This window comes from Homo sapiens, chromosome 7 (assembly GCF_000001405.40).
Source record: "Homo sapiens chromosome 7, GRCh38.p14 Primary Assembly".
Classification (NCBI taxonomy): Eukaryota; Metazoa; Chordata; class Mammalia; order Primates; family Hominidae; genus Homo; species Homo sapiens.
The window spans coordinates 25,930,002-25,947,676 of record NC_000007.14 but is presented as its reverse complement, the minus strand read 5'-3'; the positions used below and the strand labels follow the sequence as shown (position 1 = coordinate 25,947,676).

The following is a 17,675-nucleotide window of genomic DNA, read 5'->3' as shown; positions in this document are numbered from 1 at the left end:
AATGTAACACAATGGTAAGGATTTATTTAACCGTACAAAAGGTACAGTAAAAATACAATATAAAATGTAAAAAATGTTACACCCATATGGGACACTTAGCATGCATGGAGCTTGTGGGACTAGAAGTTGCTCTGGGTGAGTCAGTGAGTGGTGAGTGAATGTGAAGGCCTAGGACGTTACACTATTGTAGACTTTATAAATATTATAAACTTAGGCTACACTATATTTAAAAAAAATGCTATGACATGACAGCTGTGACATCATTAGGCTGTAGGAATTTTTCAGCTTCATTATAATCTTACGCGACTACTGTCATATATTTGGTCCATTGTTGACTGAAATATCCTTATGCAGTGCGTGACTATCACTCAACACTGAAAGCCTTTAATTTTTTAAAGAACATTTTAAATTTCAAATGCAAGGGTTGGGAAATATGGGGGGGCGTGCAGAGGAGCTGGGAAGCCATGGTGCTGGGTCACTGATTCCCCATTTTATATAATCTCCCACCACATCTTCCAGAAGTAAAATTCTAGGATTCGACATAACTTGCATTTCAAAGAGTGTTTATGCCAAAGAATTCGAGTGCTTTCAAATATTCTTTAAATAGTTGGGAGCGGGGTGGACGACGTATTTGTTGGGATCCCACAAGAGTGCTATAGTCTAGTCTGCAGGTGATGTTCAGGAAGCACTTCTTCCCCTAAGCTTGTCTCTTGTTAATTGATACAAAATTTTCTTGTTCATGGGGCCTTATATACAGGGAGATCTTCTGAGATAATCACTACTGACACAGGAGCAACCTTAAATATGAAAGCAGTGGACAGGGAAAAAAAGGCAGAACTCATTGTTCCCACAGCTATAGTTGATGTGTAAGGAATGAACAACCCATGTTGCTTTGGCTGTGTTGGAGGAGCCAGCTGGAAGGAGGACAATGTCTCTTCTGCAGACCCCTGGCAATATTAGACATAGGTCTTGCAATTCTGATCTGTGAATTAATTAAGTGGGCACTAGGAGAGCCAGGAGTGTCTCCACACAGCAAAGAGACACCCTGAAATTACCTCTGATTTGCTTCTTAGATATTCCTCTCTCTCTGTGTTTGCCAGTTAATAGAAGAAATACAAAAAATAGCTGGTTAAGTAGTACTTAATTTGTGCAAAGCACTGTTGTAACCATTCACGTATGTGAAATCATTTATTCTATGAGGTCAGTACTGTTAATATTGTTCCCATCTTACAGATAAGCAAACTGAGGCATAAAGGGATTAACTAACTTGCCCAAGACACACAGCTAGACAGTGGCTGAAGCAAGGTACAGACCCGGGCAGTTTGGATTAGTCTGTGATCTTAGCAGCTGTGCTGTACCGGTCATCATTTAGTTGCCCAATTGGTTACGGCATAGTACAAAGCCTGGGAGTCTAGATTCAAAGTTAAGAACACTGAACATAATTAGGGCTTAGCTCAATGCAGATCTTCAGTCTGTCTTTAGTATGTGAGGTTGGTTTCCAGGGCCTAGTGGTAGCACTACTTTGGGGATTATTTTTACTACTTTGAATCTCCTGATCACCTTTGCCACTGGACAGAATTGAATGCTGAGAAGAATTGCAGTTTCTTCAAAAAGTGTCCTAGTTGGTATACTACAAGAAAAACAATAGAAGCAGAAAATAAGTTGCATTAATGCATTCTTTCAAGAAACTTTTAATTCTTTACCATGTGTCAGCTTCTGGATGTAGGCCATTTCAGTGTGATACACATAGCATGCTGCTAAATCAACCTGAAATATCCAGGAAGTCTTCCCAGAGGAGGTGCCAGCTGGATATTGGAGGATGAGTAGGTGGTACCTGAATGAAGGGAGGAAAGGGCATTTTAGTTCAAGGGAACAGCAAGTACAGACTCATGGAAATATGCAACAGTATGATGTGTTTGGGAATTAGCAAGTCTTTATGTGTGGCAGGCAGATGAGCAACAGGTAATGAGGCTAGGAGATTGGCAGGGGAAAACCAGGAAGGGTCTTGTGTGGTACCTATAAACATTTGAACTGCACCCTGGAAGCCATGGGGAGCAACAAAAGCCTGTAAGCAGGAAAATGGCCTAATCAGCTCTGCTTTTGTAGAAAATATATTCTGGCAGCAGAAGGCAGGGTGAGTTGTTGGGAGGCAAACTAGCCAGTTATGAAGCTGTTAGAGTCATGGAGAGAAGACATGCTGAAAGCCAGTGGCATGGACAGGAGGGGTGTGGGTGGGCGTAGGATGAGAGCAGGAAGACCCACTGACCTGGAGCAACACACAGGAACGTTCAGGGCAGTCTGTTCTTGAGGCCCTTACGTACATTTTGCTGATTAGTACTAACCCAGGGAATAAAATTGGCGCTCAGCTGCATTGTGTATGATATTTCGAAACATTAAACTTGCTTGGCTGTAATCCCAAATTAATTCTGGAAGTGTAATATTGGAAACATCTCTTTAACTCTTTATGGCTTATTGAAAATTTCACCCTCATTCATCAAATCTAAGAAATTAACCATTGCCAAAGCACGCTCCAAAGGGAAGGGGGCACTGAAGAGAGGTTGCTGAAAGGAATATTACACAGGGTGTGGGCAGGGTTGAGGGAAGCCAACCAGGAAGAGGGAAGTACTCTGGTGCTGGCAGCAGTGGGAAGCTGTGACCACTCCCAGCCATCAAGGGGCGACTGGAGAGAACAGCTCCTGGGGGGAGCTGAGGCTGTAGGAGAGGGCTGCCTGCCAGGAGCTGGGGCATTTGGTGGAGGAAACCAAATGCCATTGCCAACTCACAGCTCAGCAAGGGGGGAACCAAGGGAGTGAATACCCTGATATGGTCCAAGGAGGGTGGCCTCCAGGGGTTAAGACGGTGGGGTGTGGACATGGAGGGTCAAATGGGAAATTGCCAGCATAGTTTTTGGTTTGTTTGTTTTTTTTTTTTGGTCGCATGTCACATCTATGAATACATTTAAAAAAACCTATAAGAGAAATAAGTTGGTTGAAGAATTCCTAAAACTTCTTCATATTCAGGGTCCTCACGTCTGTATATATTTTTTTCGCATAGTGTCATCTTCTGTGCCATCAAGAACACAAGCCAAGATGCAGTGTTTCTTAAAAGAGTGTTCCACTATTGTCTCTGCATCGAAGCCACTGATGCTCTTTCTGCAAAGTTTAATGCTGGGCCTTTTCCCTCCTGCTTTTAATTGTGGTGAAATATACATAACATATAATTTACTATTTTGACCACTTTTAAGTGTGCGTTCCTGTGGTATTAAGTACATTCCCATTGTTTGCTGTGCAACCATCATCACCATCCACCTCCAGAAGTTTTTCATCATGTCACACTGAAACTCTGTACTCATTAAACAGTAACTCACCGTGATGCTGGGGTCTCCTCGGCCCTACCAGAAGGGACCAACAGAAGATCGTTAGTCTGAATTTGAACAAAGGTAGAAAATGTTAGTGATATCATGCCTGCCGCCTGGCTGAGAGCACTTTTAAGATGTTATTGGTTATTAAATGCATCCTAATTTCAGAGACGTTAAAATGTAGAAAAAAATAATGTTGTTTGGAATCAACATATGATGAATCCTTCCAGAGCAAACCTCACAACCAGTGTTCCATGACTGGCTTTCAAGTGGAACTGGCTTTCAAATTTGTTCTCTCCTCCAGGGAGGCCAGGCAGGGCCTACTAGGGCAGCAGGAATCCTTAGGTGAAAAACCCTTGGCTTTGAATAGCACTATCCATTTATCCCAGTGTGCCCTAAAATGTTATCCTTTTCTATGTGTAACATGATATGAAAAAGGCTAGGAAATATAGCTCCGGAAGATCTTTATCTTTAGTCTGGCCAGATTTCTGGAGATATATATATATATATATATATATATATATACATATATATATATTTTTTTTTGAGACAGAGTCTCTCTCTGTCTCCCAGGCTGGAGCGCATTGGCGTGATCTCGGCTCACTGCAACGTCTGCCTCCCAGGTTCAAGCGATTCTCCTGTCTCAGCCTCCCGAGTAGCTGGGACTACAGGCGTGCCACCATGCCTGGCTAATTTTTGTATTTTTAGTAGAGACAGGGTTTCACTTTGTTGGTCAGGCTGGTCTCGAACTCCTGAACTCAAGCAATCTGCCCACCTCGGCCTCCCAAAGTGCTGGGATTACAGGCATGAGCCACCGTGCCCAGTCGTGGTTGTATATTTAATTCAATATCATCTGTGTGCATCAGGCAGGGGATGCTGATGGGAGGGCTGTTCAAATAAGCTTGGACCGATGTAGCAGAATGCTGCCATTCTAGAGGATGAAGAATGATCCATGCCATTGAGACATTTTCTGCATTCATGCTATGAAGAGGTTAAACAGAAGTGACTATAGGGTACCCATCAGAATAAAATCTGTGCATCTGCTTTGAACCACCAATTGCATTTGTATTGGTTAGGTAGTTTTGGTTCTAATTAATGTAGACCCAAACTCAACTGGCTGAAAGGAAAAAATAACTTACTTTACAGGAAGCCCAGAGGTAAGGAGGCTCCAGTTTGGTTAATTCAGCAGCTCAACACTGCATTAAAGATCTGGCTTCTTCCCATCTTTTTCCTCTGCCATCCTCGGCTTCTTTGTCTTATTCTCAGACTAGGTTCTCTTGTGGCAATGTGATGGCTGCAGCCCTCACAGAAGAATGTCCCTGAGCACCTTGTTTTTTCAAGACCTCCAGCCATTTTCTGCTATTTGCCGAGGGGCAGAATTGAGTTGGATGCCCAGGTATTAACCAATCACTGCTGATGAAAATGGGATCACTTAAGTGGCCTAGACCAATCAGGACCTAAGTCTGAGTCACGAGGAACTGGGGTGGACCCTGAACCAGGTCAATTCTGATAGCAAAGAAGAGGTGGAGGGGTGTCTTTTGGGTAGACAAACAACAATGTCTGCTGAACCATGTATAGGGAGTGGTCTTAAAAAGCTGCAACTCCATGGTGGTTGTACACTCATTGCAGTATTATTTTTAAAGACAAAATTGAGAATTAATTAAGATTTCCATTAATAGAAGACCAATTAAATAAATTGGGATAAAGCCATCAACAAAATATTTACTAGGAAAGAATGAGGTAGATATGTAGGCAATCAACATGGAAGGTGAATGAGATGTAATTTTATGTAAAGAAAATGTTGTAGAACAGTTAAGTGGGATTGGATCCCATTTTTATTCCTCTGTGTGCACTCATGTACATATAGACTCAAATAGATACAGAATTTGTGTGCTCTGGTCTGAAGGGGATCAGGATGGGGGCGGTGGAAGTGGTGCTGGAGAAAGGAAGTTTTGCTTAATAGGTTATACACTTTTGATCATTTGACTTTTTAAAAATAATAGATTTTTTTTACTGAAAAAATAAGTTTGTCATATAGGTAGAAGGCAAATAGGAAATAATATGGCAATATTATTAGCAATGAGATATGTTTGTCTCCCGCATTACAGTCACATGTATAGACACATTAGTCCCAATTTTATTAGTGTCATTTTTGAAGTCTCCTGCCTACACTGGATGTACCTGAGCTTTGGAAGTTAACAGTGGGACCTCTTGAGCTGTGATGCCTGATATGGTAGCAGCTAGCCACATGTGGCTTTTTAAATTGAAATTCATTAAAATTAAATAAAATTCAAAATTTATTTCCTCAGTTGCACCAGCCACATTAAAGTGTTCAACAGCTGCATAGGGCTAGTGGCTGCTGTGCCAGAAATCACAGATTATAGAACATTTTCCATCATTGCAGAAAGGTCCATTGGACTGTCCTGCTCTAAGCCTGGCTGCTCGAGGCCAAGCATAGGCTTAGTCTCTTGGTAGCGAGGTGGCTTTAGGCAAGATATTTAACCTTTGTTTCTTAGCTTTCTACTCATTAAAACAAGAATAATGATAGTATGCAGCTCACAGAATTGTTGAACAGATTAAAATTGTTAGTGCTGGCCAGGCGCGGTGGCTGACGCCTGTAATCCCAGCATTTTGGGAGTCCAAGGCCGGCAGATCACTTGAGGTCGGGTGTTCGAGATCAGCCTGACCAACATGGAGAAACCCCATCTCTACTAAAAATACGAAATTAGCTGGGTGTGGTGACGCACCTGTAATCTCAGCTACTTGAGAGCCTGGAGCAGGAGAATCACTTGAACCCGGGAGACGGAGGTTGTGGTGAGCCGAGATTGTGCCATTGCACTCCAGCCTGGGCAATAAGAGTGAAACTCTGTCTCAAAAAAAAAAAAAAAAAAAAAAAAAAATTGTTAGTGCCTCACACCTGGTAAATCATCATTAAAGTTACCTAGTACTATTATAATTGTTATTAGGAACCTTTCCACCAATATTGATTGAGCACTTACTAAATGCTGGGCATTTTCCTCATGTCGCCACTTTATGGATAAAATTGAGGTATGATAAGGGAACTGGAGCTTCCCTGTCACACTACAAGGGGCGGGGCAGAGGGTCAGAGCCAGGTCTGGTTCCAAGGCTTGTGTTCCTTGGTGTTTAATCTGTTAGGAGGGTAGGACTGAGTCACTAACCCTCCCTCTGGCGCCAATAGCCACTCCTGCCCTTCCTCTTCCTTTCTGAACAAGAACTGACTGGTTCAAACGAACTACAAGGTTTCAGACTTCAGATTCATTCTCTGTCTCTCTTTCTCTTTCCTTCTGTGTCTTTCTGTTGGTGGAGAGGCTGGAGATAAAAGGACAATGAAGTTTAGTAGCAGCTGTGTACCCAGTTTTCTGTGGTGTGTGAATTCTCTCAGTTTCTTCTTGTCGGTTTTCCAAAAGCTGAATAGTTCTTTTAAAAGAAAACCACTCTGTGACCAAATGAAGGAAGGGGAGCTCTTGCCAGAGGACAAAACAGGAAGAGATTATCTTGAAAAGCTTCTAATCAAAGTTAAAAATCATCTTATGTCTCTACTTGAAGGTTCAGTTGCACATACGCCTTGCCTGGAGGTGGGAGGTGCGTGGATAACTGGAGACATTATTAAAGAGGCTCATGAGAAGAGGATGGAGGTGCTGTTTTCACTTAATACATTTGGGAGGGGATTTGTGTCCTTCAGATACGTCTTGGGCTGGACCTGGGTTCATCTTCATTGGTAGAAATGGCACCCTTAATTAGGGCTCCATTAGAATTGTTTTCCCAACTCTGCTGCATGCTGTCAAAAAGATATGCTCCGTCTCCTCAGTGATGAATGAGGCTGACCCCCTGCTGCAGCATAGAGACAGAACTGGTATCTGCGGATTAGGTCTTGCTGTGTGCTTCATTTCTTAAGCTGCACTTTCAGTTGGCTACTGTTTTCCTATGAGTCAACATTTATATTGAAGTTATTACCATGAGCTGAAGTGCTATAGAAAATACGCCTTCAGATTTTTCAGTCTTCCTAAGCTGTGAGAGAGTGTGTGTGTTAGAGAAGAGGAAAGGCAACCAATGCAGCTTTTGAAAGGCCGTCAGAGAACTGGTTTGTTAGGGTGTTGAGATGTATCTGGGGATTAGACAAAAGGAAGAGGATGGTTAAGTGATTAAGCAAGACCAGCCTGGGCTGTTAAGTCATTTGATGTTAACAGTTGATGGATCAGGATTTATCTGTACCCCGTGAAAACGGAAAATTGAATTCAGTTTTTCTTTTTAGCTTTGAAGTAGTGGATTTCAAACGATTTTAGACATTTTATAATGGATTATGGATAATTTACCTTGAAAAACTGTACTTCACCAGGAAAAACAGGAAAGAATAGGAAGCTTATTCTCTCATATCTTTTCTTCCTTGATTCGCTCATATCTTTTCTTCCTCCCCAAGCTAAATCATTAGGTTTGTTTTTCTGTTTCTGAAACAGAATTTGTTGAAACTAAATTGTCGTACAATGCCTAGAACATTGGTCACATTGGCTTCAATTCTAGTCTCCATGAGGGCAGGTCCATTTGTGCATAATTTGTTGCTATAGCCCAACACCCAGCACTGTGCATGGCATATGGTGGCCATTCCGTAAATCACTGAATGAGTGAATGAGTTTGTGGGTTCTAATCTGTGTGTGTGTGCCTGTGTGTATCTTGACTATGAGAGTTAACATAATTTCAATTTCATTTCACTAATGTTGGCTCCTCTAATGTTTAATGTGAAGTTGAGATAACTATGTCCTTCCATATACCTGCTTTCCAAGTTTTTCTCTTGTGGGATTGAATTAAAGCCTACATTTATCTTCCATCATTTCTTTTTAGGTTGATCCTGGTTTGGGAAGCTTCCAGCTTGGAATGATTACAATAGAAAGAAGCTGTTCTCCTGATTCTTCCTGATGCTGACACACCTTCTCTTTTTAAAAACAATAGCATGGCACCTTTGATTACTGTTATAAAGTCCAGAGGTCTTCAGACTGGGGCACACCCACCCAGGGGGGTATATAAAGACTTTGTAAGGGGCACTTGGGCATCGAAGTGTTGGGTTATGTGTCCTCAACTTTCCTATCGTCGAGTTCCTAAAACAGACTTGCATAAGAACCTCTGGGCTGGGAGTTATTTACCCTCTCCTACATCTCTTCCTTTCTATCATCCTTTTGCTACTCTACAAAGGAAAGGCACCACCCTCCCCCATCCCAAATCTTACTAAAGTATATTGCCTGGGTGTAGAAACCTTTATGATAGCAAAGGGACAATTTCATTTCATAATACATATTTATTAAATACCTAATATATACCAGGCACAGTTCTGGATGATGAGTTACTGCAGTGAACATAACAGTAAAACATTTCTGTCCTCATGGGGCTTCCATTTTATCAGGAAGAGATGGGCAAGAAGCAAAAAAGATATTATCCATGCTGCTTCTTTCAATTAAGGCCCTAAAATTTTCCCATTAACCTGATGAAGAAATACATTTCCGAAAAATTTTCCTGGTTATGTTTAGTAATTATCAAAACTTACAAAGTTACATTATTTTGATCAGTTGTATACTAGTAATAATTATAATGAAGACTCAATCTAGCAAAATTAATACTTGGAAAATCATGGCAATGGGAAATTAAATTTAAATCACAATTTATATATGTATTTTGATTATAGAGAAGTATAATAATCAGTAAAAAGGCTTTAAGTATAAAAAATTACATCATAAGGCCGGGCGCGGTGGCTCATGCCTGTAATCCTAGCACTTTGGGAGGCCGAGGCAGGCGGATCACGAGGTCAGTAGTTTGAGACCAGCCTGACCAACATGGTGAAACCCCGTCTCTACTAAAAATACAAAAATTAGCCAGGCGTGGTGTCATGCGCCTGTAATCTCAGCTACTCAGGAGGCTGAGGCAGGAGAATTGCTTGAACCTGGGAGGCAGAGGTTGCAGTGAGCCAAGATTGCGCCACTGCACTGCAACCTGGCGACAGTGCAAGACTCCGTCTCAAAAAAAAAAAAATTATGTCATAATACTTCTGTAGGGAAAGTAGAATGCATTATAGTTTCAAGAAATAAGAAAACATCGATATTCTGATTATTAAATAAGAGCGTATTTGTATATTTTAAAATGAATAATTGTTGGAATCAAATTGCCATGACGTTTAAGCTTCATTGGAGATATATAAAAGAATAATGTTGCTATTTTATTTTAACATTTGAATTTTTAAAATGTTTATTTTAAGTTCAGGGGTTCATGTGCAGGTTTGTTATATAGTTAACGTCATGTCATGGGGGTTTGTTGTACAGATTATTTCATCACCCAGGTATTAAGCCTATTACCCATTAGTTATTTTTTATGATCCTCTCCTTTCTGCCACTGTCCACCCTCAAGTAGACACCAGTGTGTGTTGTTCCCTTCTATGTGTCCATATGTTCTCATCATTTAGCTCCCACTTATAAGTGAGAACATGCAGTATTTGGTTTTCTGTTCCTACATTAGCTTGCTAAGGATAATGACCCCAGCTCCAAACATGTTTCTGCAAAGGACGTGATGTAGTTCTTTTTTTATGGTTGCATAGTTTTCCATGGTGTATATAGACCACATTTTCTTTATTCAGTTTACCATTGATGGGCATTTAGGTTGATTCCATGTCTTTGCTATTGTGAATAGTGCTGCAGGAGACATACACATGCATGTGTCTTTATGATAGGATGATTTATATTCCTTTGGGTATATACCCAGTAATAGGATTGCTGGGTCGAATGGCAGTTCTGTTTTTAGGTCTTTGAGGAATGACCTCACTGTTTTCCACAATGGTTGAACTAATTTTTACTCCTTCCAACAGTGTATAAGCATTCCTTTTTCTCTGCAACCTTGACAGCACCTGTTATTTTTTCACTTTTTAATAGTAGCCATTCTGACTGGTGTGAGATGGTATCTCATTGAGGCTTTGATTTACATTTCTCTAATCATCAGTAATGTTGAGCTTTTAAAAATATGCTTGTTGGCCACATGTATGTTTTCTTTTGAAAAGTGACTGTTCATGTTCTTTGACTACTTTTTAATGGGGTTGTTTGTTTTTTTCCTGTAGATTTGTTTAAGATCCTTATAGATGCTGGATATTAGACATTTGTCAGATGCATAGTTTCCAAATATTATCTCCCATTCTCTAGGCTGTTTACTCTGTTGATAGGTTTGTTTTTGTTTTGCTGTGCAGAAGCTCTTTAGTTTAATTAGATACCATTTGTTAATTTTTGCTTTCATTACAATTGCTTTTGGAGTCTTTGTCATGAAATCCTTGCCCATTCCTATGTCCAGAATAGTATTCCTAGGTTACCTTCCAGGGTTTTCTATAGTTTTGGGTTTTATATTTAAGTCTTTGATCCGTCTTGACTTAATTTTTGTATAAGGTATAAGGAAGGGGTCCAGTTTCAATCTTCTTCATACTGTTAGCCAGTTATCCCAGCACCATTAATTGAATAGAGTCCTTTTTCCATTGCTTGTTTTTGTCAGCTTTGTGAAAGATCAGAGGTTGTAGGTGTGTGGCCTTATTTCTAGGCTCTCTATTGGTTTATATGTCTGTTCTTGTACCAGTACCATGCTGTTTTGGTTACTGTAACCCTGTAATATAGTTTGAAGTTGGATAATGTGATGCCTCCAGCATTGTTCTTTTTGCTTAGGATTGCATAGGCTTTCAGGCTCTTTTTTGGTTCCACCTGAATTTTGAAATTCTTTTTCTAGTTCTGTGAAGAATATCACTGGTAGTTTGATAGGAATAACATTAAATCTATAAACTGCTTAGGGTGGTGTGGCCATTTTAACAATATCAATTATTCCCATACATGAGCATGGGATGTTTTTCCATTTGTTTGTGTCTTCTCTGAGTTATTTGAGTAGCGTTTTGTAGTTCTCATTGTAGAGATCTTTCACCTCCCTGGTTAGCTATATTACTAGGTATTTTATTCTTTCTGTGGCAATTATGAATGGGATTGTGCTCCTGATGTGGCTCTCAGCTTCGTGGTTGTTGTATAAGAATGCTAGTGATTTTTGTACGTTGATTTTGTATCCTGAAACTTTGCTGAAGTTATTTATCAGGTGAGGGAGCTTTTGGGCCAAGACTGCAGAGTTTTCTAGATATAGAATCATATTGTCTGCAAACAGGGATAATTTGGCTTTCTCTCTGTTTATTTGGATGCCCTTTATTTCTCTTACCTAATTGCTCTAGCCAGGACTTCCAATACTATGTTGAATAGGAGTGGTGAGAGAGGGCATCTTTGTCTTGTGACAGTTTTCAAGGGGAATGCTTCCAGCTTTTGCCCATTCAGTATGATGTTGGCTATGGGTTTGTCATAGATAGCTCTTATTATTTTGGGATATGTTCCTTCAATACCTAGTTTATTGGGGGTTTTTAACATGAAGAGGTGTTGAATTTTACCAGAAGCCTTTTCTGCATCTATTGAGATGACCATGTGGTTTTTGTCTTTAGTTATGTTTATGTGATGAATCACATTTATTGATTTGTGTACATTGAAACAGCCTTGCATCCCAGGGATGAAGCCTACTTGATTGTGGTGGATTAGCTTTTTGATCTGCTACTGGATTCAGTTTGCCAATATTTTGTTGAGGATTTTTGCATCAATGTTCATTAAGGATATTGACCTGAAATTTTCGTTTTTTGTTGTGTCTCTGCCAGTTTTTGGTATAGGATGATTCCAGCCTCACAGAATGAGTTAGGGAGGAGTACCCCCTCCTCAATTTTTTGGAATAATTTCAGTAGGGATGTCACCAGCTCTTCTTTGCACATCTGGTAGAATTTGGTTGTGAATCCGTCTGGTACTGGGATTTTTTTTTGGTTGGCAGGCTATTTATTACTGATTGAATTTTGTAGCTCATTATTGGTCTGTTCAGGGTTTAAATTTCTTCCTGGTTCAGTCTTGGGAGAGTGTATATATGCAGGAATTTGTCAGTTTCTTCTAGATTTTCTAGTCTGTGTGCATAAGGTGTTCATAATACTCTCTGGTGGTTATTTGTATTTCTCTGGGGTCAGTGGTAATATTCCCATTGTTGTTTCTAAAATGTACTTATTTGGATCTTCTCTCTTTCATCATTAGTCTAGCTAGTGGTCTATCAATTTTAGTTATTTTTTCAAAAAACCAACTCCTGGATTTATCGATCTTTTAAATGGTGTTTTTTTGTGTCTCAGTCTCCTTCACCTCAGCTCTGTTTTTGGTTATTTCATTTCATTTCTGCTAGCTCTGGTATTGGTTTGCTCTTAGCTCTCTAGTTCTTTTAGTTGTGATGGTAGGTAGTTAAATTGATATTTTTTTCTAATTTTTTATGTGGGTGTTTAGTGCTATAAATTTTCCCCTTGACACTGCCTTAGCTGTGTCCCAGAGATTCTGGTATGTTGTCTGGTATGTTCTCGTTGGTTTCAAAGAACTTCTTGATTATGTCTTAATTTTATTATTTACCTAAAAGTCATTCAAGAGAAGGTTATCCAATTTCTATACAATTGTATGGTTTTGAGTGATTTTCTCAGTCTTGATTTCTGATTTTATTGTGCTGTAGTCTGAGAGAGTGGTTGTTATGATTTCAGTTCTTTTTCATTTGGTGAGGAGTGTTTTATTTTGGATTATTTGTTTGATTTTAGAGTATGTGCCCTGTGGCAATGCAAAAATATTATGTTGTTTTTGGGTGGAGAGTTCTGTGGATGTCTATCCAGTTCCTTTGATCTAGTGCTGAGTTTATGTTCTGAATATCTTTGTTTATTTTCTGCCTCTGTGATCTGTCTAATACTGTCAGTGGGATGTTAAAGTCTCCCACTATTATTGTGTGGGAGTCTAAGTTTCTTTGAAGGTCTCTAAGAACTTGATTTATGAATCTGGGTGCTCCTGTGTTGGATACATATATATTTAGGATAGTTAGGTCTTCTTGTTGAACCCTTTGCCATTACATAATGCCCTTCTTTGTGTTTTTTGGTTTTTGTTGGTTAAGTCTGTTTTGTCAGAAGCTATGATTGCAACCCTGCTTTTTTCTGTTTTCCATTTGCTTGGTGGATTTTTCTCCATTCCTTTATTTTGAGCCCAGGGGTGTCATTGCATGTTTGATGAGTCTCTTAAAGACAGCATATCATTGGGTCTGGGTTCTCTATCCAGCTTGCCACTCTGTGCCTTTTAATTGGGGCATTTAGCCCATTTACATTCAGGGTTAGTATTGATATGTGTAGATTTGACCCTGTCATCATGATATTAGCTGGTTATTATGTAGACTTGTTTGTTTGGTTGCTTTATAGTGTCACTGGTCTGTGTACATATGAAGCGTAGTTTGCTGGATATGAAATTCTTGGTTGGAGTTTTTTCTTTAAGAATATTGAATACTGGCCCCTAATCTCTTCTGGCTTTTAAGGTTTCTGTTGAGACATCCACTATTAGTCTGATGGGCTTCCCTTTGTAGGTGACCCTGACCTTTTTGTCTAGCTGCCTTTAACATTTTTTCTTTCATTTTGACCTTGGAGAATCTGATGATGATGTGTCTTAGGGATGACCTTCTTGTGAAGTATCTTACTGGGGTTCTCTGCATTTCCTGAATGTTGACCTCTGTAGCTAGGGTGGGAATTTCTCATGGATGATATCCTGAATTATGTTTTCCAACTTGGTTATACTCTCCCCATCTCTTTCAGGGACACCAATGGGTTGTAGATTTGGTTTCTTTACATAATCCCATATTTCTCAGAGATTTTCTTCATTCCTTTTCATTCTTTTTTTCTCTATTCTTGTCTGACTCTCTTATTTCAGAAAGCCAGTCTTCAAGCTCTGAGATTCTTTCCTCAGTCTGGTCTATTCTGCTATTAATACTTGCGATTCCATTATGAAGTTCTTATAGTGTGTTTTTCAGCTCTATCAGGTCAGTTATATTCTTTTGCATACTGGCTATTTTGTGTGTCAGCTGCTGTATCATTTTATTGTGATTCTTTACTTCCTTGGATTGGGTTTCAATGTACTCCTGAATCTCAATGATCTGTGTTCCTATCTTTATTCTGAATTCTATTTTTGTCACTTCAGCCATTTTGGCCTGGATCAGAACCCTTGCTTGAGTGGTAGTGTGGTCATTTGGAGGAAAGAGGCATTCTGGATTTTTGAGATGTCAGAGTTCTTGCACTGGTTCTTTCCTCATCTTTGTGGCCTGGTGTTCCTTCAGTCTTTGAAGTTGCTGTCCTTTGGATGGGTTTTAATTTTTTTGGCCATGCTCCACTACAGACACTCCCTCACCAAACCCTCTGGGCTCTACATCGACTGGTGTGCTTCCCCTACCACTTCTCTAAGAAGCTCTTCCTGCCAACTCAATTGTCTGTAGTGGTTGAGGGTTCTCCTCCTGTTGGGATTCTAGAGGCCCATGGTGGGAGTGAGTTGGTCCTTTCCTGTTCAACTCACTCATTCCCCTGGAGTCACTGGGGGCCAGGGATGAGTCAAGTGCACAGCAGCCCCCTGCAGGATTCCCAGCTCCCTTCTCTTCAGCCCAGCTTCTGTTCAATGTTTTCAATGACCAGAAATAACATCCTTTGCAACTATTTAGACTTATGAAAAATATTAAGTATCTACTTAAGTATGTGCTGGGGGCACATAGTTTTTCAAAGTTCTTACAGGGGAAAGGGAGTGGCTATGTAAACAAACAGTTGAAATCCAAACTACACGTTATGTTAGAAAGAAAGGCAATAGATGGAGTAACACAATAAATATATGACAATATTGCCTGGCTGTAATTGACATTCAGCAGAGTCATACTGACGCTTTTTCTGGAGGGATAGAAAAAAAAGTGTGAAGATCACTTATAAAATATTGACTAATCACTGCTTTTTAAATGATCAATATGTAAATATTAGTGTGGTAATGAAAATTTGCAGTTATTTTGGATTGTCAACACTAGAGGCCAGGAAGTCATGCTACCATAATTAAGATACAGTTATAGGTTTATGAACCACTCTGCAGCTGTAATCCTGAAATAATTCACACTCAGGCACTAGCATAGATAAACTGTGGCAGCTTCATCATAGGGAGTTTGTAGGAACACTGCTAAAGTTTGGTAGAACCTTGCTCTAGGAACAGGCTAGAGCACCACATATACCGCATCCTAAGTTGTGCAACATGGCAGCCCTGTTGTACTTCATGTCATATTTGTTGAACACTACTATATGCCAGCTGGGTTTGGGCAAAATTCTGAAAGACACAATCCCGAATGCCATCATCCTGAATGTTGGAATCTTGAAAAATCAAAATCCCAAAAATAGTTCTGGAAAAAATATTTTAAATCATTTAAAAGACATTTATTTACATTTTAAAAGGAGATTTATTTGAGAAGCGTAAAAACATGACAGAACACTTCATAGGCCACTTTCCACAATAAAACAGGCAATAATAACATACATATTTTTACAAGAGTAGACACTCAGCTATACCAATGGCAGGTATAACAGTTATGGGCAGACAAACCATATTCATAAAAAAATAGGTCAAAAAGCAAAATGTATTGACACATAACACTATGGTTGGTAATTGCATGCACTCATTTTTATAACTGTGGTCATCTAAAATACGGTGACAGACAACCTAAGTTTTGACAAGATTGAGCAAAAACCGTGATGGGTCACCAACACCCACATAGTCACCCAAAGAGCCAAGATCTCAAGAAATTTTATCTTTCACAAGTGCAGATGTACAAAAAAGACATCTTGTCATTTATTGAGGAAGTTTTTACATTTTTATGTACACACACAATGCTTCCACATAAAGTCAACGTTGTGATAATGCCCTTTCATGGTGTCAAATTTGCAAAAAATGCATAAAATGAACTAGAACTCTCTAAAAGTTTTCACCAATTTATACAAGTCCAGTGTTGGAAATGATGTGAAGATGAAATACATAGCTTATCAAATTAAAAAAAAATTATGCTGACAAGTTAAAATTGTGGAAAAAAATGAAAAAAAATCATGAAAAGTCAAAAAAAATTGACACATGAAAAGGTATATTACAGGGCTAGGTTATGGGCAATTGCAAAGAGGTAGTCCATAAAAGCTGGCCAACTTTCATGATCATTCACTATATTTTTGAAGTCTTGAGTCATAAATGAATAGCTGCTTCTTTTCTTGAAGGTCATGGCTCTCCTCAAAGAATATTTTCATCTTCATTTTCTATGCAACACTGCTCTTCAAATTCTATGATTTGATATACACTGACATGAGCATTCCCTATTACATTTTCTCATTTTCTGTACAATGCTTCTGTGTTGTTTTGGGTACATGGAAATCCATTCTGCACGCACTCGTATATAAACCACACATTTGGCAGAAACAATACTGGTGATCAAAGGCAACACTGTTGCATGTCTTCTTACCCTGCTTTGCACGTAATTATTTTCAAACCAGTTAAAAATTGCTGGCTTCTTCAGACAAATGAAGCTTTAATTTATTCAAAGCTCAGAATTTCATCGACTGGAAGTAATGCCATTGCAGGCAAATGACACATTTTTAAACTGAAGTTTTCCTTAACGCCTTATTGAATGGCCCATCCACTCATCTGAATTTTCTGCCAAATGCACATATAGACAATACCAAGATAATAGTTCCACCCAACATGATGCAACTAACATGATGCAACTATCCTGCATGTCACTAAAGATGCACTAATCCCTTCCCCAGAATTCTGCTTTTGGGATTTCAATATTTGGGATTTAAATTTTTCAAGATTGTGATTTTTGGGATATTAGATGTTAGGGATTTTGACTTTTTTAGATTTCAGTATTATGGACTGTGTTTTTTGGGATTATGACCAGACTGATGCTAAGCATTGTGTGAAAGGGTAGATATATACTATTAAATCAAAGGACATGGCCAGCCCTGGGCTGGGTCCAGTGTCAACCTCATGGGGAAAATCAGGTGAGCTTTGTGGGAGTCGGGGAGGGAGACAGGTAAGGAGAAACTTCCACATATGCTTGTGTGTGGCATAGAATATGCATGCAAAATATGGAAGCTGTTACTAATTGGTAAAGTAATGCTGCTGCTTACTAGTACTATTAGTATTAACTCTAACCCTAGTTACTGCTGCCAGTGTATCTGCCAATATACCCAGATCCTGTATATCTTATTCAAAGGCACATTGGAAAGTGCACCAATCAGGAGGCTCCCTTTTTAAATGCACCAGGTACTGTTTTAAGTACTTTATATACCTCGTCTCAGTGGTTCCTCAGAATAACCTAATATTAGCTTTGTTTTACAGATGAGGTAACTGGGGCACAGAGAAACTAAATA

General features: G+C 39.4%; 2 long non-coding RNA genes across 3 annotated transcripts in view; one reads left to right on the top strand and one right to left on the bottom strand.

The window, feature by feature from the left end:
• LOC105375199 (uncharacterized) overlaps positions 1 to 8,415 on the top strand; it is a 191,528-nt gene extending 183,113 nt beyond the window's left edge. For both annotated transcript variants that reach the window (XR_927114.3, XR_927122.3), the window contains one exon: positions 8,216 to 8,415. This is a non-coding gene — a long non-coding RNA (uncharacterized LOC105375199). The remainder of the gene's footprint in view (positions 1 to 8,215) is intronic.
• On the bottom strand, positions 1,676 to 6,145 carry LOC105375200 (uncharacterized). The gene is made up of 4 exons (XR_001745151.2): positions 6,106 to 6,145; positions 3,368 to 3,423; positions 2,267 to 2,426; positions 1,676 to 1,834 (listed from the first exon to the last, which is right to left on the bottom strand). It is a non-coding gene; the product is annotated as an uncharacterized LOC105375200 (long non-coding RNA).
• Positions 8,416 to 17,675: the final 9,260 nt, after the last annotated feature.